At 46.3% G+C, this 27,496-nt stretch overlaps 1 protein-coding gene and 1 pseudogene across 8 annotated transcripts, besides 7 other annotated features; one reads left to right on the plus strand and one right to left on the minus strand.

The window, feature by feature from the left end:
- Window positions 1-27,496, plus strand: part of LOC107985803 (uncharacterized) — a 28,878-nt pseudogene that overhangs the window by 832 nt on the left and 550 nt on the right.
- On the minus strand, window positions 2,489-26,815 carry AMMECR1L (AMMECR1 like). Of its 8 annotated transcripts, NM_001410953.1 has the most exons (9): window positions 26,669-26,815; window positions 25,062-25,171; window positions 14,687-15,131; window positions 12,108-12,218; window positions 11,673-11,787; window positions 10,313-10,403; window positions 8,004-8,138; window positions 7,759-7,855; window positions 2,489-6,064 (listed from the first exon to the last, which is right to left on the minus strand). In NM_001410953.1, exons 3-9 carry the CDS (start codon window positions 15,091-15,093, stop codon window positions 5,953-5,955), a joined length of 1,068 nt encoding a protein of 355 aa, NP_001397882.1. In that variant the 5' UTR covers window positions 15,094-15,131; window positions 25,062-25,171; window positions 26,669-26,815; the 3' UTR covers window positions 2,489-5,952. The 8 variants fall into 8 exon arrangements, with proteins under 8 accessions (NP_001397882.1, XP_005263863.1, NP_001186069.1 ...); XM_005263806.6 differs by lacking the exon at window positions 12,108-12,218; NM_001199140.2 differs by lacking the exon at window positions 8,004-8,138.
- Window positions 15,940-16,019: a silencer, noted in NCBI's record as "silent region_11938". NCBI's record gives its function as "represses an Ori minimal core promoter by ATAC-STARR-seq in GM12878 lymphoblastoid cells {active_cell/tissue: GM12878}" and the evidence as "EXISTENCE:reporter gene assay evidence [ECO:0000049][PMID:35858748]".
- Window positions 26,686-27,281: an enhancer, noted in NCBI's record as "H3K27ac hESC enhancer chr2:128643401-128643996 (GRCh37/hg19 assembly coordinates)". NCBI's record gives its function as "activates a minimal SCP1, AML or CMV promoter by ChIP-STARR-seq in primed H9 embryonic stem cells {active_cell/tissue: H9 hESC(primed)}" and the evidence as "EXISTENCE:reporter gene assay evidence [ECO:0000049][PMID:30033119]".
- Window positions 26,686-27,415: a biological region, named in NCBI's record as "H3K27ac hESC enhancer GRCh37_chr2:128643401-128643996".
- Window positions 26,706-26,755: a silencer, noted in NCBI's record as "silent region_11939". NCBI's record gives its function as "represses an Ori minimal core promoter by ATAC-STARR-seq in GM12878 lymphoblastoid cells {active_cell/tissue: GM12878}" and the evidence as "EXISTENCE:reporter gene assay evidence [ECO:0000049][PMID:35858748]".
- Window positions 26,766-26,935: a silencer, noted in NCBI's record as "silent region_11940". NCBI's record gives its function as "represses an Ori minimal core promoter by ATAC-STARR-seq in GM12878 lymphoblastoid cells {active_cell/tissue: GM12878}" and the evidence as "EXISTENCE:reporter gene assay evidence [ECO:0000049][PMID:35858748]".
- Window positions 27,066-27,145: an enhancer, noted in NCBI's record as "active region_16507". NCBI's record gives its function as "activates an Ori minimal core promoter by ATAC-STARR-seq in GM12878 lymphoblastoid cells {active_cell/tissue: GM12878}" and the evidence as "EXISTENCE:reporter gene assay evidence [ECO:0000049][PMID:35858748]".
- Window positions 27,156-27,415: an enhancer, noted in NCBI's record as "active region_16508". NCBI's record gives its function as "activates an Ori minimal core promoter by ATAC-STARR-seq in GM12878 lymphoblastoid cells {active_cell/tissue: GM12878}" and the evidence as "EXISTENCE:reporter gene assay evidence [ECO:0000049][PMID:35858748]".

Consider the following 27,496-nt stretch of genomic DNA (forward strand, 5'->3'; position numbering starts at 1 on the left):
AGCCTAGACAACATAGTGAGACCTCGTCTCTAAAAAATACAAAAATTAGCCGGGCGTTGTGGCGCGTGCCTGTAGTCACAGGGATCGGGGAGGCCGAGGCGGGTGGATCGCTTGAGGGATGCAGTGAACTATGATTGCCTCACTGCACTCCAGCCTGGGCAACAGAGACCCTGCCAAAAAAAAAAAAAAGGCAAAGTCCAGGCGCGGGGGCTCACGCCTGTAATCCCAGTACTTTGGGAGGCCGGTGGGGGTGGGGGGGGCAGATCACCTGAGGTCAGGAGTTCGAAAGCAGCCTGGCCAACATGGTGAAATCACGTCTCTACAGAAAAAAAAAAAAAAAAAAAAAGCCGGGGCGTGGTGGCGGGCGCCTTTAATCCCAGCTACTCGGGAGGCTGAGGCGGAGGTTGCAGTGAGCCGAGATCGCGCCACTGCATTCCAGCCTGGGCGACAGCGACAGAGTGAGACTCTGTCTCAAATAATAATTTTTAAAAAGACTTAAAAAATTAAAAAGTAAAAATTTTAAAACTAAAGAAAAAGAAAACCTTTAGAAGGCAGTCCTGGGAATCCTGTCTGGCCTGTGCAGCCTGATCTCCTGCGAGGGCTCGTCCACAGCGTCTTGCTGTCTTGCAGTGCCGGCAATGTGGTCTCCCACCACCTGAGAAGTTCCCTCCTCCAGGGCATGCTCTTTGCTTCAGCACTGCTTCTCTAAGGAACCTGCCCAGACCTGAAGGGCTGGCCACGCCCCCTTTCACGTGCTCAGAGAAGCTGAAGGTTCCGGAGGGTTTGATGCTTGCCGGTGTTCCCTTGTACACCCAGCACTGAGTGACAGGCCAGATAACCACAGCTGCCCAGCCACTGCACCATGTGCTGGGGTCTGGGCAAAACATTTACTATTTTTACTTTTTACCTATGACTTCTCTAAGGTCAGGTTACTTTGGAGATTCACAGTCCTGTCACAAAGTAGGAAATGCCTTATAAATGGCAGGACCAAGATTTGCGCTTAGGCCTGTGGGACTGCCAGCCAGAAAAGATTCTAGCTGTCACCCGCCCTGGGTTATTTCTTTGGTTGGGAGCCACGATGTGATCACAGAATAGCCATACTGGGGGAGGGGGTCTGATTGGCAGCAGGAACTTGAGGGACTGATGGTGAACTGGAGACCTCTCTTTTCTGTTTTCCAATAGTTTCGAAATTGCAGTCCTCCCCCCACCAATTTTCCAGGGCATACAGAATCTGTGTGAGTAGAAATAATGCATAAGCGGCAGGAAGAGGCCCTTGAATCCTTGTCTGAGCTTGATTTTAATGAGGAAAACAGACACAGAAGGGACAGGACTTGCATTACATTCCTCAGGCTGCTACTCTGATTCTTGTACAGCATTGGTTCAGTCAAGCCATTCAACCAGCCCACTTAGTATTTCAGTCAGATTATTCAAGCCAAGGTTACAGACCTAGATTGATCTAAAAGCAGCTGTAGAGCACCTCCCCCACCCCCACTCCCACAATTAGCACCACTGACCTCTGATCAGATGGTTTATTTCACACTCCAGAAGTCAACAGTGATGGCTAAAATTACAAATGTTGTTTTATCACCAATCACACTCTCCCCCAAAATCAGTCATAGGCAACTCTACGCTGTTTAATTACAGGTACTATGGAATGTAATCTCTAGAACATTAATTTCTCTTGAAGAAACGAATTCCTCTTCACACACATCAGTTATTAACAAAGCCTGTAAACGTCTAACCAGCTGCTGGTAGTCAGTTTTCAAAATTACCTAACCCTGATAGCACGTTTTTATCTGTAGCCATGTGTTTTTGAGCTTTGCTAAGCGCTAAGGGCCTCAGAATTGAGTACCTTAAAAAAAAATTCTACCTCCCTGCAAATAGTGTGTCAACTGCTGATCTTTGGGTGGGTTGGGTTAGTGGGCTGGAGCCAGGGAGGGACAAGCAGACCCCAGGGTGCTGCCCAGATGGAATACTGAATTATTTTTGCCAAGTTAAAAAAAAAAAAAAGCGTAAACTGAAGATGTCCTTTCCTCCAAACACATCTCATCTTTTCTGGGCCATCCAAAAACAAAACTTCACTGGTTAGGTCAGACTGCACCAGTATGTCCCAGGGTCTTTGCTTGAATTAATTAACATCACCAAATTATATTAAATTTTAGTGTTTTTTTCCTCTCCAAGAGATTTTGGCTTTTTTTGGTAAGGTCAGTCTCATTTGAAAATCTAACAAAAACAACGAACCTGTCTGGAAAAACCCAAATCTTAAAGGGCTAATGAATGATTGCTCATGGAACTTGGCTCTAAAACACCAGTGACATTGCCACCAACCATAAAAATATACACAAGGGTGGGGTCACGAGCACCACACAAAATATCCAAGCTGACCGAATACTATCTTGTTGCCTGTCTTCAAAAATAAAACAACTGTTATCACCATTCCATATAAATCAAGTCACATGGTTAAAAAAGAAAAAGCAGAACAAAACGATTTTTATCCATTATGATTTATTCTCTACAATACTTCGTTAAAGTGTTCAATGATTTGCACTCAGAAGTTATATAGCCAAGAGGCAACCAAGTGTAATACAAAGAATTGGTCTGAAGTCTTTGCACTGAAGGCCATATAGTCTCTTGCTTCAGGGAAGTAAGAACGAAATGAACAAAAAGAACACATAGCTCCCTAGGCTCCAGAATCTCAATAGAAAATAACGTCAACAGTTAGTGAAATTGTAGATGTCAACACATCATGGAAAACAGATCTTGTGCAAAATATTAACACCCAGGACTTCTTTTGTATAGATGATTTTTATTATAAACAATAAAATATATGTAATGTCTCAACTACAAACCTTTCATGTTGAAAGGGTCTCTAACATGAGTTGTTTTATTATTATGAAGCAAAAAAGTTTTAAGAATCTCACAGTGGAAATAATCCAACACCGACAGACTCTAGTGATCAAAGACATTCTCTTTTAATGTAAAACAAGGACAATTCATAATTACAGAGAGAATGTCCTAGCTGTGGGTATTATGAGACAAGCCAACTTTCCAGACCAAAAGGCACTCACAGCTAGGGATGAAACGAACTCCGAACCAAGCCAGAGAAATTGGGCTGGTCCTTGAAAACAGTGGTTACCTACTGTCCAGCTCGAGCAGCCCAAGGACAAAGGAAACACTCAGCAGAAAACATTCCCTTTTCTTTAAACCTACCACGCACACCGCAGGTACTGGCCGCCCTCATCACTGCTTTGGTCAAGCGTGCAGAGAAGGCAGTTCAGTTCCAGTTCGGAGCTATCCTCTCCCTATGCAAAGCTGCCACATGGATGATCCAGACTTGGTATTTTTCCTGAGAGCCACCTGCTACACACTTTCATGAGGCGACCGTGACCGTACACTTCTAGACCGCTTCCTGACTAGGCCCCGTTCAGGACGGATACTGACAATGCCCATTCCTCACGGGGCCAAATGGTTTCCCTTGGTCGACTCCTGAGTCCCCTGACAAAGCAAGAGGAACCCAAGCATTTCCATTGCTGGACTTGTGTGGGAGCATGAGGGAATGTGCAGGGAGTAAGGCTTCTTCACTCCAAAAACCACTGAGCCCACTTCAGTGTGGTGCTGGGCCTAACCAGCCCAATTCTTGTGCACTGATTTTTTTTTCCCCATTTCTCGGGTTTTAAAATTTTCTATTCATTTTCTTAAATGGCAGGTATCGTACCCCCCCTCGATAAAATAAAATAAAATAAAATAAAATAATAAAATAAAATAACATACCATACATTGGAGAAGACAAATAGGGCAACATTTCTACAAGAAAAAATCGGCTTGAGGAGCATGGCACTGTAAATGCTTGCATGACCAGTCTCACTGAGCGTGCTCAGGGGTGAAGGTTTAGCACCAATTTTTTTGCTTTTTTTAATCTTTAGAAATTAAACACAACTCTTAACATAGAACACTTGAACAGTAATGAGTGTAGCCCTATGTATCAATACTGTTGTACAAATTGGAGGTGGGTGGCTTAGTCCAGAGCTGACCACCCTGACATCGATCCATGGCACCTAAGAGTAACCGTTGCCACGTTTTTAACAAGACATTTATTCTCAGCAGCAGGAAATCACGAAACGACCCCTCCATCTTCATTTACATTGCCAAGGGAAACGTAGCAGGCTGCAGGAACCCAGCACAGCAGTGAAGGGCCGCAGCCTAGGCACCGTCACCCACGTTTCCCTCGCACGTCCCAGGTCCTCTCGAGCAGCACAGGACGGTGTGGAGCAAACCCACTCACCCTTGCCCATCCCTTCCCACAAACTTGCCAGCGATGCCTAGAACAGCACAGGTGTCCTTTCTCAGATTGTGCCCCCACTCCCCTTCCCCATTCCTGACAGAAGAAAATGCAAAAGATCTTCTGAATATTTGCCCATTTCGGAAAGCCACACCATCACCACATAAACTTCAAAAAATAAATTAAATAAAAACATGTTCACTGGGTTGACACCCAATCCACTTCATGAGTTCTCTAAGCATGTTGTTGAAAACCAGTGTCACATCCTTAGGATCCTTCTTCCAACTGGCCACTCTCCCTGTGAATCATTTTAGCAGTGCCTTTGTAACAATATTTTCAAAGCATCTTCCAAGTCCCCTAGTTCTATGAACTTTGCCACCAAATGAGTGAAGAATAGGCAAGGAGAGAGGAAAAAATTGCTGACAGCGATTTGGAAATCAGCAACAATGGGAAAGGGAAATATGTCACATGAAAGTTTGAAAGACCTAGAATAAAATGAGCTATTTGGAAATTTGCCCTGGTGGGGTGAAGATTCCCAGCATGTCAGGCAAGATAAAGGTCCACCTTGTGTAATTACACAACTGTTTCCTAATGTCCTGTAAAGGACAGAAACACCAACAGTCTTCCCACCTCTACAGGCAAACTAGAAAAAGGAGCTCCCCTGCTTACAGGCCCCTCAGGATGTCACCTGAAAAGAAAACCAGCTTACAGACCCTGGATTCTCTCCTATGATGTGTCCTCCTAAAGCCCAACTCAATCGCTTGTTTGCACATCTACGCTTCTGAGAACTTAGGTCCAGCTATAGGCACTGCTACCAGCAGAGGAGTGAGGTAGCCAGGCGGTGCAGAAGAGGTCTCTCCTCTCACACCTGCGTGCAGTGATGACATCAGGACCTCCTGTGGGCATCTCCATTCCATTCCATTCCTCAGCAGGCTACATGACGGAGCTCTGTTCAGTAATCAGGAGACTCAATGCAGGAAGAGTGCCAGAAAATCCAACTGAGAGTGGGATGAGGATGAAAATCTTCACGGCCTACTGAGCAATGAGATCTGCAACGCCACCCAAAGGGCTTCCGATCTTGATGTGGGTCTCTGTCCAGGAGCCTCAAAGGACTCGTGGTGCCCACGTCCAACCCTAACGTGGCGTCCGCTTATGAAGCATGGAGGTTGTAATCAACTCTTGGTACGCAATAAACTGGAAGTTTAAAAAAAGGAATTTAAAACAACCTAAAAATGTTTCTTGGTCTCCGTTGCCCAGACTGCCAGGGGAATACACCTACTTCATCTGGGGAGGCTGCAGGGGTGTGTGTGGGTTCAACCTTCAGGGATCATCAATTTCAGCTTCCAGCGTGTGGCCAATACCCCATGTGGCAAATACCAGACAAGGGTCTTCTGAACCCACAGTAATTCCCACTAGTCATGGAGGAGCCCCAATCCAACGGAACCCCATATTGAGGAAAGGCTGAGATAAGGCTTGGGCCCCTCAAGTTCTGTTTCGTTCAAGGTAACCCTACCCTCCCTCAGTCAGCGGGAGGCAGACTTGGCAACGGAAGCTAGCATCATAAAATGGTGCAGTAATAGAAGTAACTGGACCAGGAAGAGGAGGCATCTGCTCCAATGATGTCATAGCCATTGGTGGCCACGGGGGGGTGGGACTGGTCATGCAGCCGTGTGTCAGGAGTAATGATTGTAGAGGGGCGGGGCATGAAGAGTGCCGTTCTGGAAACAGTGCTGTCGGGAAGCAATATACTCTGCGTAACTGATTGTCACCTTCTCACTTCGGTACCTGTATGAGGAAACAGGAAAGGGTATTAGGAACCCCAAACGCTTCATTTTGTAAAGTCACTCAGCAGAGAAAAACCAAAAGCTTATTCCACATTTTGAAAGAATAAAATGGAAGACCAAGAGCAATCTTACTTACAGAAAATGAAAGACAGCACAAGAAAACAATGTTGTTATTACAAATGAACAAGATGAAAAAGCACAATCACAATTCCCCCGAGAATGTGTTTCAGCACATCCCACCTTGAAACACTACACGTGCTTATCATCAGGCTGCTCGTAAGCAATCCGCTACTGGGGTCTGGATGAAGAATTTCAAGGTCAAATTACTCGGGTGGCAGATTGGAAGATGGCTGCACCAAAACCCAGTGCAAACTGCACATCTACTTCCAGAGTAAATGTGATACATTTGACAGAAATGCAACCTCAATTCGCGTAAGAGCAACAAACAAGTTATTATAACTAAAAGGGACACAGATACCTAATTCTGGGTCAAAGTCTGCTGAAGCAGGTTAAAGGATCCTTGGGGCTATATAGGTCTCACTCCCCAGATGAATATGCCATATCACAGGGTCGTCAGAACAGAATTCATAGCACTTTGGCTGTGCTCTGGAAAGAGCCATGAGTCAGGATGCGAAGCATGGGGTGTTACAAACCTATGGAGCCTACTACAGACCACAGGAGCTGGGTGTGACAATCCTTACCCAGAGCCATCTCTTTCCCACTGTAATCACTCCTCCACTGCAAGGTGATTATTCCTGAATTTTGACAGGGAAATGGCTGTTCAAATAAATTATAATAATAATAATAATGCTTTGTATTTGAAGAGTTTTTTGTTGTTTTTTAAAAATTTTTGGAATCCAAAGCATTTAAAAAACACTGGGTCATCTTCCAAACAGACCTGTGAGATTAGTATATGATTATTCAGCATTTTACAGATGAGGGGCCCAAAAGAGGCCCACAAAAGCCCATAGAAGCTAAACCTCTCAGTGTTTCTGATTTCAATAGGGATGAGAAGAGAACTAACATCTCCTGATCACCTACAATGTTGACTGGCCACAGGCTAGAAATTTTCCATACATTACCTTAGCACAGCCTCAAACAACTCTAAGGTATTATCATTCACATCTTACAGACAGGGAACAGGCTCAGAGAGGCAGAATAACTGGCTCAGGTCACACAGCTAGTACATGTTGAGCTGGGATTCCAACTCCAAGTCCATCTGCATTCTACTACACTAGGCAGCCTCCTCCTAGAAGTATTCCCCACAAATGAGAGGCATTTCCTTTTAACTTTTTGTAAAAGCATTTTCTTACTCTCCTGTATCTCCTGCCGTCTGACTACATGTGCAGTCAGAAAGCAGCACCTCAACTGACTCTGGACTTCCAGAGAGCCTTGTCTCCTAATCTCAGTCTCCCCCTCAGCCTCCCAACCACGTGGGTCTGGCAAAGCCATCCACAGCCTGCAGGGCAGACCTGCCCTGCTCCAACTGTGCCCCCAGCTCAGCTATGGAGACACACAGGATGCTGGGAGAGTCTCTGCCTTTGCTGCCACTGCTTCCTCAAAATGTGAACTTCACCCACACTTCTTTGATTTAGGGACATTCACAGAGAACACTTCTTCTCCATCCCATCAAAATTATCCTCCATTCAACCCCAACTAAATTGAAATGATAAGGAAAACAAGACAATGGCTTACCTGGTGAGTTTGATCGTTTTTCTGAATTCACTGGTAATTGGAGCTTTAAAGCCACCTTTCCTGAGCAAGGAGTCTATTGTCTGGATCTGATCCCAGTCTGGGGAGGAGAAAGGCCACACTGAGGTCAATGCACATGCAAGAGTAAGGCATGCTCTCACATGGCCCGTGCAAGAAGAGAAATGGGACTCGAGAAGCAGCCGAGTCTGCTAAGGCAGAGGAAGCCCTGGGCACTGACCCCCACGTACCTGGCGCCCAGTCTGTCTGCCAGTCCCGTGGAGACTCTGAGACATGAGATGATAGCCCGACACATGCCATAATGGCTGTCCCCAGGCTCCCTGCTCCTGCGTCCTTCCTGTCAGATGTTACCCCAGTATAATTATCTAGGAACAAACATGGTTCCAACTTAGACCAGCCTATTGGCCTAGTGCTGGTACCCAAGGCTGCTCTGTGGGAAGAGAGGAATTTAAATTCTGCAACTTATATTCCTTTGTGTGATCTTCCTTCAATCTGATGATTTTTGGAGTCCTGTTTTCTATGGTAAAAAATTGACAGTGAGAAAGAAGCTGGCTGGGTGTGGTGGCTCACACCTGTAATCCCAGCACTTTGGGAGGCTGAGGCAGGAGGATCACTTGAGCCCATGAGTTCAAGGACAGCCTAGGCAATATGGTTAAACCTCATCCCTACTAAGAACGCAAAAATTAAGTGAGCGTGTGGGATGCGCCTGTAGTCCCAGCTACTCAGGAGGCTGAGGTGGGAGAATCATCTGAGCCCAGGAGGTCAAGACTGCAGTGAGCCAGGATCACACCACCGCACTCCAGCCTGGGTGACAGGAGGAGACCCTGTCTTAAGGAAGAAATAAAAAGGGAAAGACAGGAAGAGGAAGAGGAAGAGGAAGGAAAGGAAGGAAGGAAGGAAGGAGCTGTTCCTTCAGGAAGGGCAGACAAGTTGCTCATGCATATACTATTGTTATTCTTGCACATTCTTTTTTTTGAGACAGGTTCTCACTCCTGTCACCCAGGCTGAAGCGCAGTGGCGCAATATTGGCTCACTGCAACCTCCACCTCCCAGGCTCATGTGATCCTCCCACCTCAGCCACCCAACTAGCTGTTGACTGTCAGGTGTGTGCCACCACACCCAGCTGAATTTGTATTTTTTGTAGAGACGAGGTTTCGCCACCAGACTAGTCTTGAACTCCTGGGCTCCAGTATCCACCTACCTTGCCCTCCCAAAGTGCTGGGATCACAGATGTGAGCAAACGTGCCCAGCCTCATTCTTAACAGATAAAACCAACTTCATCAAATTGAAAAACCAAAGAAAATCCCCTAAATTACTATGCTAGGTGCTCCGAAGTTTTTATTTTTCCAACCAACTTTCAAATGGCAAAAGTAATTTAATTATTTACTTAAGTTATTATTTACACCTCCCCATTACAAAACATGGTATGCCTCCTTGTACAGAGTGTGTTAGGTTTATGACCTAAAAGAGGTGGCTAAAAGGTTTGCTATTATGCCACATATACACTGCTCTTGAAAAAGTTTAAGCACAAGCAAAATAAAAACCAACCAGGCAATCGTTTTCCATGTTTGCTCATGATATACACTTCACCGGGTATTTTTTCTCTATTCTAGGCTCATACCCAACAAATACTGTGTTTCACATATTATTTTCAAAATCAGACTAATTCCAAGAAAGAAGGAAAACTGCACTACGTATCACAGAATGCACAAGCAACATGTAAAGGTACCCTTCTAGATATTCTTTTAAAGACAAAATCTGCTCGATCCACCCTACCTTTAACGTCCCCATCAGAAGAACTTATAGGCTACTGAGTTTTTTTTTTTTTGGAGATGGAGGCTCGCTCTGTCACCAGGCTGGAGTGTAATGGCACGATCTTGGCTCACTGCAACCTCTGCCTCCTGGGTTCAAGTGATTCTCCTGCCTCAGCCTCCTGAGTAGCTGGGTCTACAGGCATGCACCACCATGCCCAGCTAATTTTTATATTTTTAGTAGAGACGGGGTTTCACCATGCTGGCCAGGATGGTCTCAATCTCTTGACCTTGTGATCCGCCCACCTTGGCCTCCCAAAATGCTGGGATTATAGGAGTAAGCCACCACGCCTGGCCGACTACTGAGTTCTTTAAAAAACAGTAGGGACTATGTTTACACCCTTTGCCATGTATAATATTGTTTAATGATTTGTGATCCAAAGTTCGGTACCTACTGAATTCTACAATATGGTCAGGTTGATTGGTGGTATTTTGCTACAATTGCCACTGTAGTTTAAGGGGCTAAGAAATAAAACTATTCATTGAAAAGAAGTGTTTGAAATATCAGGCGAGTAAGTGAACGATTTACCCTTTTGCTTTTCCCAGCTCCTAAACCTTTTTGGAAGTTTACCCTTGGTTCTATAGGAATTTGACAGGTATTAAGAGGCAGAAAGGCCCTCATTCTCAGCTGCAGTTGGGCTGCAAGATGACACACTTCACTTTCTTGCCCTTTAACTGGCACCACTGTGAATGATACTTGTCATTAAAATCCCATTCATCCAACTCACCTTGTTCCTTAGCAACCTCAGGTAAATATGTGGCTGTGCGTTTGACACCTTTTTCATTAATGAATTCAATTCGAATCCCATGGACCCCTACCTATAGAAAAAAGTACAACCAAGTAAATGGCATTTACTTACTCTAATGGAACTTCAGTCCCCACATATAAATCAACATTGTTCCCTGACCAGCTTAACACAGGCCTGGAAAAGGGAGACCTTCTCGCATTTCATGACTAATTCTATCTCAGGAGGTATAGAGGCCAAAGAAAGTTCTGCTTTTAGGGAAGGGTCGAGAGTATGTGCAGCCAACTCTGAGAATATGAAGGTAGGAGAAATGCATTCTTTAAGTAATTCATCCAGGAATTGTGAATATGTTCCTTGACCCTATTCCATTAAATAAACATGCCACAAGGTTTTTATCTGGGGTCATGATCCTTCACATCTGATTCCTAATAAAAACTTTTATTTGGCCAGGCGCGGTGGCTCATGCCTGTAATCCCAACAATTTGGGAGGCCAAGGCCGTCAGGAGTTTGAGACCAGGCTGGCCAACATGGTGAAACCCTGTCTCTACTAAAAAAATACAAATGGCTGGGCATGGTGGCTCACGCCTATAATCCCAGCACTTTGGGAGTCCAAGGCAGGTGGATCACGAGGTCAAGAGATTGAGACCATCCTGGCTAACACGGTGAAACCCCATCTCTACTAAAAATACAAAAATTAGCTGGGTGTGGTGGCACGCGACTGTAGTCCCAGCTACTCAGGAAGCTGAGGCAGAAGAATCACTTGAACCCAGGGGTGGAGGTTGCAGTGAGCTGAGATTGCACCACTGCACTCCAGCCTGGCGACAGAGCGAGACTCTGTCTCAAAAAAAAAAAAAATAGCTGGGCATGGTGGTGGGCACCTGTAATCCCAGCTACTTGGGACACTGAGGCAGGAGAATCCCTTGAACTCGGGAGGCAGAGGTTGCAGTAAGCCGAGATCACGTCACTGCACTCCAGCCTGGGGAACAAGAACGAAATTCCATCTCAAAAAAAAAAACAAGCAAACAAAAACTTTTACTCCAGGGCTTGCCAAGAAGGATCTGGAATATTTTCTTTTACCCCATTATCTCTTATTAGACATGGGAGAAGGATGTAAACCAAGCAGACTAGGGAGAATCAGGAGAAGCGAGCCTTTCCACTGACACTTCTGCCTACTCCTGGTATAGCAGCACCTCTTCTGTCACCTATGTTGCCCACAATTGGTTCCAAACTCAGCCTTCACATTCTTATACCCTTTCTCTCAATGAAGGAGATACATTGCCATGTACTAACCCGAACCCAAATGCAACGAGAGATGCAGAGTTCCAAATGCGGCTGTTCTCACCTCCCAGTCCAGGTAATCACTGGCATCCTCAAAGTTAGTAAGGAGGGAGACAGAGCAGAAAAGTTTAGGCAGCTCCTCTCGGGTCAGGGGGGGAAATCGGCTGTCCTTAAGTGCACTGGAGGGGGACAGAAAACATAGGTAAGGCTGCTCTGGAGTCAGGAGCCAATATCAGGTGCCATAGAGCCCACATATTTATGAATCTTGAGCTATGCAGAGAGTATCTATTGTTCATCAACACTAACATGTTAAAAACAACTCGATGCTATTAACTGTCTGTACTTGAACTGATAACTGACTCACCAGATTAAGCCCCTTACATTTCCTGATTACCAAAAAGAGAAAGCTCAACGTACATCACTTAGAAGAAATAAAGTCAGGCAGCTATTTCTGATTCTAGCCAATTTATCTACAGTTCTTAATGTCTGGTGTCATTACCTGGTTAACGTGTATTCCCTGAGTCCTGAATGAAGATTCATGGCTGAGAAGGTCCCAATGCAGCCACGAAGCCGCTTGTCCCGCCCTGTCTTCCACGTCACAAAGAGCGGACTAAAAAAAGCAAAACACAAAACATTCTCCAGCCCCAAATTAATCATGGATAAGAACAAAACCTTTTGGCTTTGTCCCTATTCATTTCTGTTATTGCCAAAAATCCCTGTTTTTGGACTTGCCAGCTACCCGAAGGACTCTCTGCCTTTCTGAAAACGGCACAGCCCCTGGCTGGAAACGGGAAACCTACAAGGCAGCATAAGGAAAGGCTCCGTGTAGTGGTTCCCATGTTCCATGCTGACAGCTTTAATTCACTTTGCCGCCAAATTTACATGCTACTTTCCTCTTTCTCTGCCCAAGACTCAACTTTTCCTTCGAATTCTCCAGTTTCCTCTTCCCTAAGTCTATTTATCCAGGTAGCCATGCTCCCCCGCTCCGTCTTTCATGATGACACGCCTCACCTGCACAGCCCCGTTCATCTGCAAACCCATGTTGCTTCCATGATCATGTCTGCCCCTGACAACTACAAATATTTCCACTCACAAATTTTCAGAAAAAAAAGTTCCCTCAAAAAACATTTTTTAATTTTTAAAAAAAGATTTAAAAAGGCCGGGTGCAGTGGCTCATGCCTGTAATCCCAGCACTTTGGGAGGCCAAGGTGGGCGGATCACTTGAGGTAAGGAGTTCTAGACCAGCCTGGTCATCATGGCGAAACCCCGCCTCTACTAGAAATATAAAAATTGGCTGGGCGTGGTGGCAGGCTCCTGTAATCTCAGCTACTCGGGAGGCTGAGGTGGGAGAATCACTTGATCCTGAAAGGCAGAGGTTGCAGTGAACCGAGATTGTGCCACTGCACTCCAGCCTCGACAAGACTGAGACTCTGTCTCAAAAAGAAAAAAAAAAAAAAAGATTAAAAAAAAATAGAGGGGGGCCTCACTATGTTGCCCAGGCTAATCTTGAACTCCTGGGCTCAAGCGATCCTCCCACCTCAGCCTCCCGAAGTGCTGAGAGATTACAGATTACAGGCATGAGCCACCGCGCCCAGCCAAGGAACCTTTTTATTAGCTGAGTTGCCATTTTCTGTTTCTAGGCCAAAGTCACACTTCATTAAGGCTATATCAGATTGACAGTGACAGATTTTTTAGCAAGAGGTTTCAAGGCCTGTTCCCTCTTCCTGAAATCCCTCCACACTCTAATGTCCTTACCTCTTAGATTGAGTTAATCATTTCTAGAGGCAACTTAAGTTTTCAAAGTTATCTGCTTTGATCACTGTCACAAAGGTCCCCACAGCAGCTGTCCCATCTAGCCATCTTTTCCTCCCAATAAAGCACCTGCACAGCACCAGCCAAAGCTGCAGCCCCAAAGCCTACTGAAAAATCCTTCAAGACAAGGCCTCCATTGCCTGCAGGATGGAAATGCAAAGCCTTGAATACAACAGTCTAAACCTTCCCTAAACACCCACATCATCACCTGTTCTTCCAAACTGCATCTCTCTCTTACGTGGGGCACCCTGGATCTCACTCAGGCTTGGGATCTCCACCTGCTCAGTCAGGTGTTTTCTAACCATGTTACCCCAGGGTGACGGTTCCCAAAAAACCGAGCACACTTCCCTCCAGGTTTCCTCTCCTCTGACACACTCACAGAGAACAACTTCCCCTTAGCTCTGTGCGTGTGTGATTTGCCAACCTGACAGGCCTCCCAAGGGAAGAGGCTCCTTTTCTTCACACCCTCTCCATGCCCCAGCCAAGGTTTTGTAGTCTCCGTATGGCAATCAACAACTGAGGAATGAATAATCTCATATCAATGAACACTCCAAAAGCATACCCCCAAAACAAAAATAAAAAAACAGCAATGCTCTTCAAAGCCAGCTCAGAGCGGCTTCCAATTCTGAGGAAGAAGAAAATGCTAGCATGGAATTCTTCAGTTTACTTTATACATATTGCTTATTTAAGTCACTGAGACCAGTAGAGGGCTTGGGACAAGCAACAAAGAATCTTGAACTAAAAATACTGAAGCAGATTCTGACTTCTTGATGGGATGTGAGTGGCCCTACAGGTTTACCAAGGGATTTCTCATGAACAAAGTGAGGGGACCCCTGTTAACCAAATCGCAGATCCCAGTGAATGAGAGCTCCTAGTCTCCAGCCTGGCCCTCAGACTTCCAACTCACCTGGACTTCAACACTATGGGTGTCCCCAATGGTATGGCGTGACTTCCCCACTTGAGAGGTTAAATGCCATACCCACTGCCATGTGAACCAACAGAAGAGCCAAGAATGAACTCACTTGATTTCCAGAACATTACTTTAACAACAAGCCTACAGCCTCCTCCAAATGTGAACTGCTCCCTTCCATTACTGAATCCACTGAATGTTTTAAATATTCTCTGGACATTTCTTATCATTCTCTTCCCATTACCCTTTCCTCAAATGATAATAAAGACTTCCAAGTAGCAGACCCTCTCAAGAGAATCACCCCAGAAAGATGTCACCATGCCTTCCTCAGTGCCCCCAGCACATGATTTACTCACTAGGGGTCATTGGTGAATCTAGGAAGTCGTGGCTGTGGGAAGCCATAGAGGTGACAGTAGAGTACGTCGAAGCAGTAGCAGCACATCTCTGCAGTCACCACCAGATTCTTAGTGGTGTTGGCAGTTCCATTAGGCCGGGGAAGAGGGCTCAGCGCTCCCGATGCGGGATTCATTCGTGTGATGGGAGAGTTTCCAGGTCCCAGAGTTAAGTCTGACACATTCTCCCGTCCACTGCTGCTGTCCACATGCTGGTGGTTTTGAAGAGGTCCTGAACTAGAGCCGGGGACAGTTGTGGACTGATTCCCGTGACTGTGCGTTCCACTTCCAGATAATTTGGGCTTCTTGACCCCACAACAGCCTGCTGCCAACTTGGGCTCGAGTGGAGGAACACAACGTCTTTTTCCCATCCTGATTCAGTGCTCAAGGTCTGGAATGCTGCAGAACCCTAACCAAAATGAGAAGTTAAGCATTAATTTGACTGGTTAGTTAAAAGGAGAGGAAAAAACATCAAAGATAGAGAGTCTGCATTGACCAGCTAAGAGCTGTCAAATTCTTTCTCCCACTCAACCTCCAGGTCACAGACCAGGAGAAGAAACCCCTAACCTTTTCCTAAAAGAGAATTTTTATTTTCCATAAAATTTCCAGATGACTACCATGGATGGAGGCAGGCACCAAGCAGCTCCCTGTTCCCCAAGAGTCCCCAGGGCAGAAGACAGGGTGGGGCACCAGCCAGCGTGAAGCTGGCTGAGGACATTTCCAGACTGCCTGGAGGGCTGCGCACGACCTGTCAGACTCATCATCATGATGTCTCTACCTTTTTTAGAGGCTCCAAATTGAACCATCCTATTTTTAAAGAACTCCAGAGGAACTTTCATGATTTTCCTTGTTAACCACATCCTTCTGTATTTTCCTCATCACTAACTACAATCTATCTTCGTACTTTCAGCCCCAAACCACAGCAAGGATGAAAAGCAGTTGGCTGTCACTCTGAAGAGGGCACATCTTCTAACACAAGGCTCCCACCTTTCTGTCTCTGCAGCTCTCCTCCTCCAGCCCCCTCATTCTCTTTGGTTCCCCTCTGAACTCACTCCAATTTCTATACATCTCCCTATCCTTTCAAGACCCCATTCAGAAAACCTGCAACCTAGCAGAAACCTTTATTCACATGAATGACCCAAGCTTCACAGCCCTTTTGTGAGGTGGCAGTTTCTGCCCTGTCATAGCCAGCCAGACAGATACAAAGCCACCCAGCTTAACAAAATGTGGTGTCACATGGGCTGGGGAGCCACAGCCTCCTCCCAGCTGATGATGCGAAGGGAAGGAAGGGATTTTTTTTTTAATTGTTTTTTTCTTTAAAAGCCCGCGGTAAAAATGTATAGCCATAACACAACTAAGGTCCTCTCTGTTGTCTGAAAAGTGTCACTCCTCAACAGAATCAGGAAAATAGAGCCTAGTTATTTCAATGTTGACAATACTGAAGTTTCTAAGTACAGAAAACTAAGTTTTCTCTCAAGTCATTGTATGTTATTGTTTTGGCTGGAAAGAGAGAGAAAGAAGGGCAAGTGGGGGGAGGGAGAGAGAGAAGAGAGATTTGCGCTGTCCTACCTAAATTTTCCCCTGTGATTTGGACATGTCATATAATTATCTTTTTAGGCATTGATCTACAAATAGTATTTCAGGTGTAAATTCTTCAACCTTTTAAATTTCAAATTAAATATTTACACACCCATCTGCAATGCCATTATTTCTAAACAACTTGTCACTTTACGTTGAATGATATAAACATTTTACAAGGATTATTTATGTTCTTCATATATGCTGATCCATAACAAAATACACATCAAGGGCATTTCCGATTGAGATCAAAGCTCTCTGTGGCCGAAGAATAATAGCTTGTACATTCTCATGCCTTGCTTGAAATAGGGGCTTCTCTCTTTCCCTCTCCTCCCCTCTCCTCTTCTCTCTCTCTCTCTCTTTTTCTTTAAGAGACAGGTCTCATTCTGTCACCCACCCTGGAGTGCAGTGGCACAATCATAGCTTACCACAGCCTCCAACTCCTGGACTCAAGTGATCCTCCCGCCTCAGCTTCCCAAAGTGCTAGGACTGCAGGTACACACCACTATGCCCAGCTATCTTTTTTTTTTTGGAGATATGGGGGTCTCACTATGTTGTCCAGGCTGGTCTCAAATTCCTGGCCACAAGGGAGGGATCCGCTCCCCGCCCCGCCCCCCCACCCGCTGGCTGGACACAGTGGCTCATATCTGTAATCCCAGCATGTTGGGAGGCCGAGGCAGGAGGATTCCTTGAGCCGAGGAGTTTGAGACCAGTATAGGCAACACAGGGAGACCCAGTCTCTACAAAAAATAAAAAAAATTAGCTGAGCATGGTGGCACATGTCTGTGGTCCCAGCTACTTGGGAGGCTAAGGAGCGAGGATTGCCTGAGCCCAGGGGGTTGAGGCTGCAGTGAGCTATGACCATGCCACTGCACTCCAGCCTGGGCAACAGAGCAAGGCCCTGTCTCAAAAAAAAAAAAAAAAAAAGGTGGTAGGGGGGCGGTGCGGTGTGCGGTGGGGATCCTCTCACTACAGCCTCCCCAGTAGCTGTCATTATAGGTGTGAGCCACACCTGGCTTCTTTTTGAGAAAGTCTTACATACTCAATATAATAAAACCTCCAATGACTACACTGTTTCTGACCATGGATGTCACTGTCTTATTTGGACTGTTGAGAGGGGAAGCAGAGTGCCTTGGTTTTTTAAAATGCTGCCTCCAAAGCCAGGTGGCCTGGGCTCAAATCCTGGTTCCTCCACGATTAACCTCTTTCTGCCTCAGTTTACTCAAAACAGGAATAATAATAGTATTTGCTTCCTAGGGTTAGGTGAATTAAATGAGTTTAACATATGTAAAGAGGCCAGGCGCCCTGGCTCACGCCTATGAACCCAGTACTTTGGGAGGCCGAGGTGGGCGGATCACCTGAGGTCAGGAGCTTGAGACCAGCCTGACCAACATGGAGAAACCTCATCTCTACTAAAAATACAAAATTAGCTGGGCATGGTGGTGCATGCCTGTAATCCTAGCTACCCGGGAGGCTGAGACAGGAGAATCACTTGAACTCTGGAGGTGGAAGTTGCAGTAAGCTGAGATCGCACCACTGCACTCCAGCCTGGGCAATAAGAGCGAAACTCTGTCTCCAAATATATATATATATACATATATATATATATATATATGTACATAAAGGGCTTAAAACAGTGACTAGTATGTGTTAAGCATCAATACTTTTAGCTGCTCTTATCATCTGGGTTCTTGTTCCACTGTTCTCTAGGAGGGCAACTCCTGGGGGGCCAGTACTTGGCTGTGCACTCTGGGCTTACAGCAGAGCTTGCACAGAGCACACACTCTTCAAAAAGGGCTTCACTGAATCCTCTAAAGCACTCAACAAGGCAGATGATGCTACCATCATTTTACATTTTACAGCATCCACACTGCCACTAAGTGGCAGCGCTAGAATTTTTTTTTTTTTTTTTGAGACAAAGTCTCACTCTGTCACCCAGGCTGCAGTGCAGTGGCATGCTCTTGGCTCACTGCAACCTCTGCCTCCCAGGTTCAAGCAATTCTCCTTACTTGGCCTCCTGAGTGGCTGGGACTACCAGCACGTGCCATCATGTCTGGCTAATTTTTGTATTTTTAGTAGAGATGGTGTTTCACCATGTTGGCCAGGCTGGTCTTGAACTCCTGACTTCAGGTGATCTGCCCACCTCAGCCTCCCAAAATGCTGGGATTACAGGCATGAGCCACCGCACCTGGGCCAGAACTAGGATTTAGATCACAATCTATGTATCAGGCTGTATGGCCTGGAACTACAAGAAAGAATGAGTTCTGCCAATAATATCCACTGGATTCAGTCTTTCTTTAGGGCAGGATTAAAAAATAAATAAATAAATTCTGGGCTGGGAGTGGTGACTCACACCTATAATCCCAACACTTTGGGAGGTCGATCGAGGTGGGAGGATGGCTTGAGCCCAGGAGTTGGAGACCAGCCTGGGCAACAAAGTGAGACATCTGTCTCTACATAAAATAAATTAGCTGGGCATGGTGGCACGCACCTATGGTCCCAGCTACACAGGAGGCTGAAGCAAGAGGATCCCCTTGAGCCCAGGAGGTTGAGGCTGCAGTGAGCCATGTTTGTACCACTGCACTCCAGCCTGGGTGACAGAGTAAGACCCTGTCTCAAAATAAATAAATAAATAAATAAAAATTTAATTTCTAGGGTATGTTAAGAACTAATCTAACAGCTTATAGAATCTTGCCAACAAAAATGGAGCCAGGAAAACAATATGAAAAACCAAGCCCAAAGTCAACATCTCAGCCATCACCTGGAAAATTATCCCCTCATCCAGGGTCATTTGAATCCACGATGGGTGTCACCAGCCTGAGTTCTCACTTGACTCTACTTTGTGTGCAACTGTGGGCAGCGAGCTAGAGATACAGGTCAGATGAAGCAGCAGGACCGCATTCCCAGAGAGCTGGTGTTTTAATAGGGCTCTGAGGCTCTGCACCTCTAGAGCCTCAGAATTCAAAGAATCGAAGGGAAAGAATAAAATGCAAAAGCTAAAAAAACCTTTCATCATTCTCATTACACCAAACCACACCTGAAGGAAAAGCTAAATGTCGTGAGATAGAGGCAACAACTCAGACATTCTCTTCCAGGTGGTATCAGCCACCTGACTGGTGAAACACTCCATCACAGAGCAACAGAAGGGATTTTCAAACCACACCAATGCAGATGAACTCAAGTCCAGAAGATTCTGCCTACATGCCACATACAATCACTGATCCGCAGTGGGTCATAATCACAGTTGATTTTACACAGTTGTGTTTACAGTTCCCCAACATCTTCCAACTATGATTTGCAATGAACAGAACCAACCACAATCTTTGGCCCTTTAGATCCAAGCATTTCTCTGGAGGCCACTAAATAACCAATTCAACTGATAGTCTCAGTTGAGTTTTAGTGACCAAAAGCAGAGTTAGATATTTTCTGCATCAAAAATATATTAGAAGGCATTTCTTTAAAAGCTTATTCCATAAATTCAAATCTATGGGAAATTTCAAACATGACCAAAGTGGAGAAAATAGTATACTCCACAAATAGTATAATGAGCCCAATATTTAAAAATTTCCAACCTATGGCCAATCTTACTTCATCTATACCTCTGTGCATTACCTACTCTCTCCACCTCCCATCCCTCTATGGAATTATTTAAGGCAGTTTTTTGAGGGGTCCAATATTTTACTTATCTGCCAACAAAAAGCAAATATTAACTTGATACAGTTTGCGTGTTTGTCGCCACCCAAGTCTCATGCTGAATTGTAATCCCCAGTGTTAGCTGTGGGGCCTGGTGGGAGCTGACTGGATCACGGGGGTGGATTTCTCATGAATGATTTAGGACCAACCTTTGGTGCTGCACTCCTGATAGTGATGACAGTGAGCGCCTTCTCTCAAGATCTGGGCATTTAAAAGTGTGTGGCACCTCCTCCCAACTCTCTCCTGCTCCTGCATTTGTTATGTTATGTGCCCGCTCCTGCTTTGCCTTCCGCCATGAGTAAAACCTCCAAGGCCTCCCCAGAAGCAGATGCTGCTATGCTGTCTGTACAGCCTGCAGAACCCTGAGCCAATTAAGCCTTTTTTTTAAATAAGTTACCAGTCCCAGGTATTTATAGCAATGCAAAAATGGACTAATATATAACAACTACAGGCAAAGAATGTAAACCAAGGTGCTGGTAATAAACAAAGACTTCTTAAACATCAACCACTATCAACAAATTTCATCGAAATTTTCTCTTTAGGTTCGAGATTCTCTAGTCCTATTCCAACAATGTAGGTATCTCATCCACAACTAAGTAGTTCCCGACTCAGCTCTCAGCACTGCCCTACAGTGATCAAGAGACACCTGGTCCTCCAGCAGCCCGGCTTTGTGAGTACTAGGTAAGGTACTTCAGAATAATAGCATTCTAATAGATCAGACTATCCTTCTGATCAGCCAAAAACAAATGCTCCACTTAATGACATACTTACCTCTTCTAAATCTGTGCCCGCCAAACTTCCCTGCCAAACTTTATAAAAACTACCAAGGATGGTACTGTGAGCATAGTACAAATTACTGTGAAGCTGGTTCATTTGAAATAAGAGAAGCCAGGCGCAGGAGCTCACGCCTGTAATCCCTACACTTAGAGAGGCAGAGGCAGGCGGATAGCTTGAGCCCTGGAGTTTGAGACCTGCCTGGGCAACACAGTAAGATCCCATTCTCCACAAAAACGGAAGGAAAAAGACAAAGTTTGAAATCAGGTGTAAAAACCCTTGCTTTATGAAAGTATATATAACCAAGACCCTTCCAGGCCTTCAGCTGGTTACTTGCACAAAGCTCAGCTCAAGGGCCATGGTGAGAGTCCCTTTTCTTCCTGTTCATCCATTAGGACCACCAATAAGAATAAGCTAGTTAAAACTAGGTTTCCACCAGATGGAAACAATACTCATACCTCAACAAAAAGCTGGCAGAAATCACAGCAACCACTGTTTTACCTCTTAAGACCTCCTAACCTTGCAGGTGTCAAATAAAGTGTGCCCTTAGTGCTTAAAGTCACCAGCCTTCCTCAGTGATGCTGCGGCGTCCTCATCTGCCCTGTGCTTGCAGGACGTTCTCTCTTCTCCACCTGATGTACACACTCAAGGGGGCCCTGAACTTCATTAGGGCCTGCAACAAGGGCCACTCAGTGACTCTTCCTCCCTCTCTGTGGGGACGCTGAGCACTGCCCTGCTATTTGGAGCAGCTTACAACTTAAAAATTTCAGCCAGCACTGAACTCGGCATCACCCTGAGCCTGAGAGGCCGCAGGGCATCTGTTTCATCTTTCACTGCACCTAACATGGTGCCCTACATACAGTATACACACACACACACACACACACACACTCCTGATTGTCACCAACAATCTTATCTACACATCTAATAATTTAAGTTTGCCTGCTGACAGTGGAGTATCGCAGAACCTGAGGATGACTGAATTACAAGCACCTATTCTTATCAACAATCTCCATTCTATTCAGCCCAAACCAAGGGATAGTTTAATAATTATTCATAGCAAAATGGATAGCCACTGTGGATAATTCATTTTAAAAATTAGGTCAACTATCACCTAAATTCACTTCTTGGTCCAATGTATGCTGGTAGCTGTCATCCTTGCTAAAACATACCAGTAGCTGTCAGTTCTGAACTGGCTTCAGGTGCCACTTCGAGGTGGCTCAAGGCTTTCTTTTGATAGGTCAGACAATCTAAACTGCAGTTGGGAAGAATCATTTTTTCCTTTTTCAATGATAGAGCACTTTCAGAACTACCCACTGGAGAATTTATTTGCCTGGGTGGCCATTTGTGGTTTCAGGGATTAATACAAACTATTTCTCATACACTGCTAGTATTTACAAACCAGGTATTGAGACTGCTATTGACACAAAGATGTGATGATGCCCCCACTCATGTGTCTGGCTGGGCAAAAGGACCTTCCTCTCTCACTGCAGGTCCCTTCCAAGGCTACTAAGTCCACTGAAAAAAATAACTCCCATTTTCCCAGAGCAGCTCCCCTCTTCAGGGGACAGAACCTAGATTTTGAGGTTACAATCTCAGCTCAGATCCCAAGTCTGACTTGCCACGTACCAGCTACGCAACTCAGGCAAGTTTTCACATCTCTGTGGACTTGGGCTCCTGCTACCACAGAGGTTTATTTGTGAGCTGTGAAAGACACGAAAAGCACCTGGCAGTTCTGTGGCACATAACTACTATCTATTAAGTGTCTGCTGTTACCAATACTTCCCTACCCCACTGATAAAAGTAGCGTTGGTTATAAAAATAACACAGCTCTGAGTGCTTACAATTTCTAGAGGAATAATGCCCTCCTAATACAATTCCATTAAGAATGACCTTGTAATCTAAAAGATCATATTATTAACATGGGATTATTACTCTCATGACCTTGATGGTTTCCTTCTTTGGAGAGCAATGGCTTCTAATAAATCATCCACTGTTTCTTTTCATTCTGAGATGCCAGAAAACACAGAGAAAAATACTTGGCTGCCTTGAGAGTTGTACAGTTTTATTCCACTAGAGTCCTCATTTAAGCTTACAGACATACACTAAAATAGAGACTAAATTTGCTTAAAATGCTATTATTGTAGACATCTTGATAGATACTGAATACCAATTTTAAAAACTGTTGTCAAAGTAGTTAGGTTTCACACAACCACCAGATTAAAATATCTAGAAAAGCCTAAAGGTGGGGGGAAAAATCTAGATTCACCTTTTGAAGACAAGCCTCAAAACAGCTTATTCGAGGGCACGATCTCATAAAGATTTGGGAGGTGGGAAAAAGGCCAAGAAAAAGGGGGTCTCTGCATTTTCTTCTGTTATCATTTAGCATTTAGATGTTTGCTCAAATCAAGCTTTTCACAGAAGGGAACAAGCTGTTGTTTCCTTTGTGACACAGAGTTGACTTGAAATTCAATTTAATAATTACATTATGGGTACTGAAATGGCACCTGAGCTATAATTCTGTCCTACTTATGGAACTATTCCAGGAAACAGTCAGAAAAACCCACATACATTCTGGTAACCATACCAAATAATCATTTATTTTTGAAACCCCCATCATACACACATCCAAAACATTTGGTGTGTGAAAATTTTCCCCCACAAATCACAGATATACCTATACAATTGTTCCTTTTTGTTTTGGAGACAGGGTCTCCGTCTGCGGTCCAGGCTGGAGTGCAGTGGTACAATCACAGCTCAATGCGGCTTTGAACTTCTGTGCTCAAGAGATCCTCCTGCCTCAGCCTCCCAAGTAGCTGGGACCACCGCCATGCACCACCACACTCGGCCAATTTTTAAAAATTTTTTCCTTTTGTAGAGACAGGGTCTCCTTATGTTACTAAGCTGGTTTTGAACTTCTGGCTTCAAGCAATCCTCCTGCCTTGGCTTCCCAGTTTTGGGATTTACACAGGCATGAGTGACTGTGCCCAGAATTTTTTTTTTTTTTTTTTTTTTAAAGAGATGAAGTCTTGCTATGCTGCCCAGGCTGAAGTGGCTATTTACAGGGCTCAAGCGATCCTCCTGCCTCAGCTTCTCAAGTTGCTGGGGCTACAGATGCACGCCACCATGCCTGGCAACAATTGTTTTTAAGCTTTATAGATTTTTAAAAACATAAAGAACTGCAAATTTCTTTTCTTTTTTTTTTTTTAGACAGAGTCTCGCTCTGTCGTCAGGCTGGAGTACAGTGGCATGATCTCAGCTCACTGCAACCTCCACCTCCCGGGTTCAAGCGATTCTCCTGCCTCAGCCTCCCAAGTAGCTGAGGACTACAGGCACATGCCACCACACCTGGCTAATTTTTGTATTTTCAGTAGAGACGGGGTTTCACCATGTTGGCCAGGATGTCTTGATCTCTTGACCTCGTTATCCACCTGCCTCGGCCTCCCAAAGTGCTGGGATTACAGGCTTGAGCCACTGCGCCTGGCCAGAACTATACATTTTCATTTCAACTTAGCTTAAAGAAAAACATGTACCTAGGAGTCAAAACTCTTTTCACCTCCCCTCTGTTTTCTATGTGACCTGTAGCAAGGTGCCACATTTTTCTGGGCCTCAGTTCTTTCATTTGTAAAATAAAAACATTTATCCCCTGTGTCCCTCAGAGGGGCTGGGAGGCTTCACCAAGAAGTGAAACACTCTGAAAACTCTCTCCTAAGTGTTAGCATACTATCATTAATCAACTCAAGAGGGCACAGCAGTCATAATTTTTCCCCAGAACTTTGTTTCAAGTTTACAGTGAAAAATTTTAATTATCTTCAAATCTGTGATGGGATTTTCAAGAAAATATCTTCACTATTGCAAATTTAGGACAAAATGTTCCAAAAGTCTCTCAGGACTGAAACTATAGAAAAGAGAACCAATAATTGACTTTGATCAGGAACTGCATTAACCTCTGAGTTAATTACCCTAAAACTTAAGACAACCTCTTTGGTTGTATTGAGAAACTCATTTGGGAAGGGTGAGGAGCCAGACCTTACAAACTAGAAATATAAAGGAAAGATCATGCCACGCCACCACCTAGCTCACTCTAATGGGAGTATGAAAAACAAACTTGCCTTTGCATATTTAAATTATTTTAAAAGGGAACAAGCGGAAAAACTTCATCAACATTAGGACCCCCTCATGGAAGTAGAAAAATACAAATGAAAACACACCTACATCCCAAAATCCTAGCACATGCCTAAAATCAAAAACTACAACGATGCTCTACTCTAAATATGCCCAAGATAATACTCACTGAAAGCAGAAAGTTTGTATTGCCAGAGGAACAGCTACAACAGAGGAGGGGAGCTATTTTGTCTCTGGAATGAATTTTCTTCCTTCCGATTCCATTCCTTCTTCCTGTACCTAAGACGGAAATGCAGGTGCAGTGAACAAACACCCAGGTAGTGCAGAGGTAAGATAGATACGGTTTCTGAAAAATCACAACTCGACAGAGCAATTTCGGGGGGGTGGGGGGCACAGCAAATAGCTAGAGAACAGGCTCTCCTTATTTCAAAACCTTGCAAACTCTAAATCTGAGGCAGCCGTGAAGTCCCATGCCCTGAATCATCTCATCCTTAGCGTCATCAGCAAGAAGGGAGGACACTGAGAATCAAAGGTTTTATTTATTGAACTCGAGCATGAGACGCACATTAAAACTTCCCCACCACAGATGCAGAGCAAAAGTTGCTCTCAGGCCAGAAGAGACCATTTAAAAGCTCTCCGCCGGTTTCAGAACACAAATAAATTTCCCAATCCTCTGCAAAGACAGAACTGAAGAATTACTGGACAGCACGCCAGAGGCAGGGACCTGAGGGCAGGCCATCTTGCTATGCCGGGAGGAGACGGTCACTGTTGCTAAGGGTCATCCATCCTTAGTCTCGAAGAAATCTCTTCCTGATCTCTTCACCAACTCTCCCCACTACTAGAGAATTGAGCTACTCCCAAAGATGTAAGTAAACAGGAGACTGTTTACATCTCCTGTGGGTGGGAGAGGCCCCACCCACTCTATCCTAGGAGAGGGCAGTGAAAGAGGATAAGGCCCAGAGGGATAAGGGTGAGGGAGCATGGCAAGGAGAGGAGTTCAGATCAGGACAGGGAATGTAGGAGGGCAAGGAGTGAAGGGCACAACCCACAGCCTGGGAAAGAGAGGCATGAAACCCAGCGTGTCAGGTGGACGGATCATGGAATGGGGGGCCAGCGGAGGTTAAGGAAGGAGGGCCCAAGAGTAGGGGTGCGAAAAAGAGAAGAGGAGGAGGAGAAAGTGCGCGTGTGAAGAGTGTTAAGAAAACGACAGGACAGAGCGGGGAGGGGAAAAGCGGGCCGAGGGACAGGGTGAAAGGTGAGAAACGAGGGTATGAGGAAAGAGGGTCCGGGGCGCTGGGGAGTTGGGGAGACGATGGAGCGACGGGTAGAGCAGCTTGGGCCGAGCCGCGGGGGTGGAATCCAGACGCCGGGCGGGGGAGGGGGCGGCGGGGCGGCGGGACGGTGGGTGGGGGCCACCAGGCGGCGCCGGAGACCACCAAACTTTACAGCGAGCGAGCCTGCTTCCTGGAGGGAGTGCAGACAAGGACCAGGAGCGGGAGCCGAGCCTCGCGGCCCGGGGCACGGCGCCGCCCGCCCCTCCCCGGCAGTGCCTCCCGACCCCCTGCCCTCCGCTGGGACATGGCCTGAGGCCCCGCCCGCCGCCCGGGACTCCTCCCCCCCGCTGCCCCCGGACCCTCGCCCCAGGACCGCGGGGTCTCTTCCCGGCCCCGCCGCCCGCCCCGGCGAGAACAGGCCCGGCGGGCAAGGCGGCGGCGGACCGAGGGAGGCCTGGCCCGGCAGCGGGGAGAAGGGTGCGGCGCAGCCCGAGTTTCCCACCTTTTCTCCTGGCCCAGACGCGGCTGGGGCGGACGGGACCTCTCGCGCTCTGCCTCCTCCTCTTGCTTCATGGAGCCATGCGCCTGGGTGGGGGCTCCCGAGAGAAGCTGGCCTGCGGGCGGGCCGGACGCGCTGCGCGGACGGGGCGGGGCGAAGGAGGCCGGCGGGCGGAGGAGGAAGCGGCGGGGCGGCGGCGGCGGCGGCGGCCGGGAAGAACTAGAGGTATTCCCCGGGCGGCTGGAGGACTGAGTCGAGCCGGGACCCGAGTCCTCCGGTATCCCAGCAGCCACCGGAGGCAGTGAGGTAATGGAGGAAGAATGTAGGGAGTCCTCCAGTGGACCACACTCCTTCTAGCGAGCCGCGGAAACCATAGAGATCAGGGCTCAGCCGGAGGGCCGGCCCACTGCTGTCACGTGGCCTCCATCCGTGCGCTTTATTGGCTGGTGCTGGCTTTACGGGGTTGAATTTTGGACGCTGCCTGCCATTCGTGGGACCGAGTTTCAGGCAGCTGGAATAAAGAGAGACATCGGGGGAAAGCCGCGAGAAGGCCAGCGTCCCTGGCTGGGAGCAGAGCTAGCCGAGTAGGGCGCCCGGCTGTCAAAACTGGCCGGCGCAGTGCACGCTGGGCCGCCCCGGAGCGGTCGCAGAGCCCGTCGGGAGTCGTAGTCCGGGACGGGCCCGCAGCATTGTCCGCGACGCAGCTCGGGATCCGCGTCGGGTTGTCGGCCGGGTTGCTGCCAGGCACCGTCGAGCGTTAGCCACCCAGCATTGAGCTGCCAGCGGCTGTTCTCCCTAAGCACCCTCGCTCACGTCGCCTCGCCTCGCCTC

Source organism: Homo sapiens, chromosome 2 (assembly GCF_000001405.40).
Source record: "Homo sapiens chromosome 2, GRCh38.p14 Primary Assembly".
NCBI lineage: Eukaryota > Metazoa > Chordata > Mammalia > Primates > Hominidae > Homo > Homo sapiens.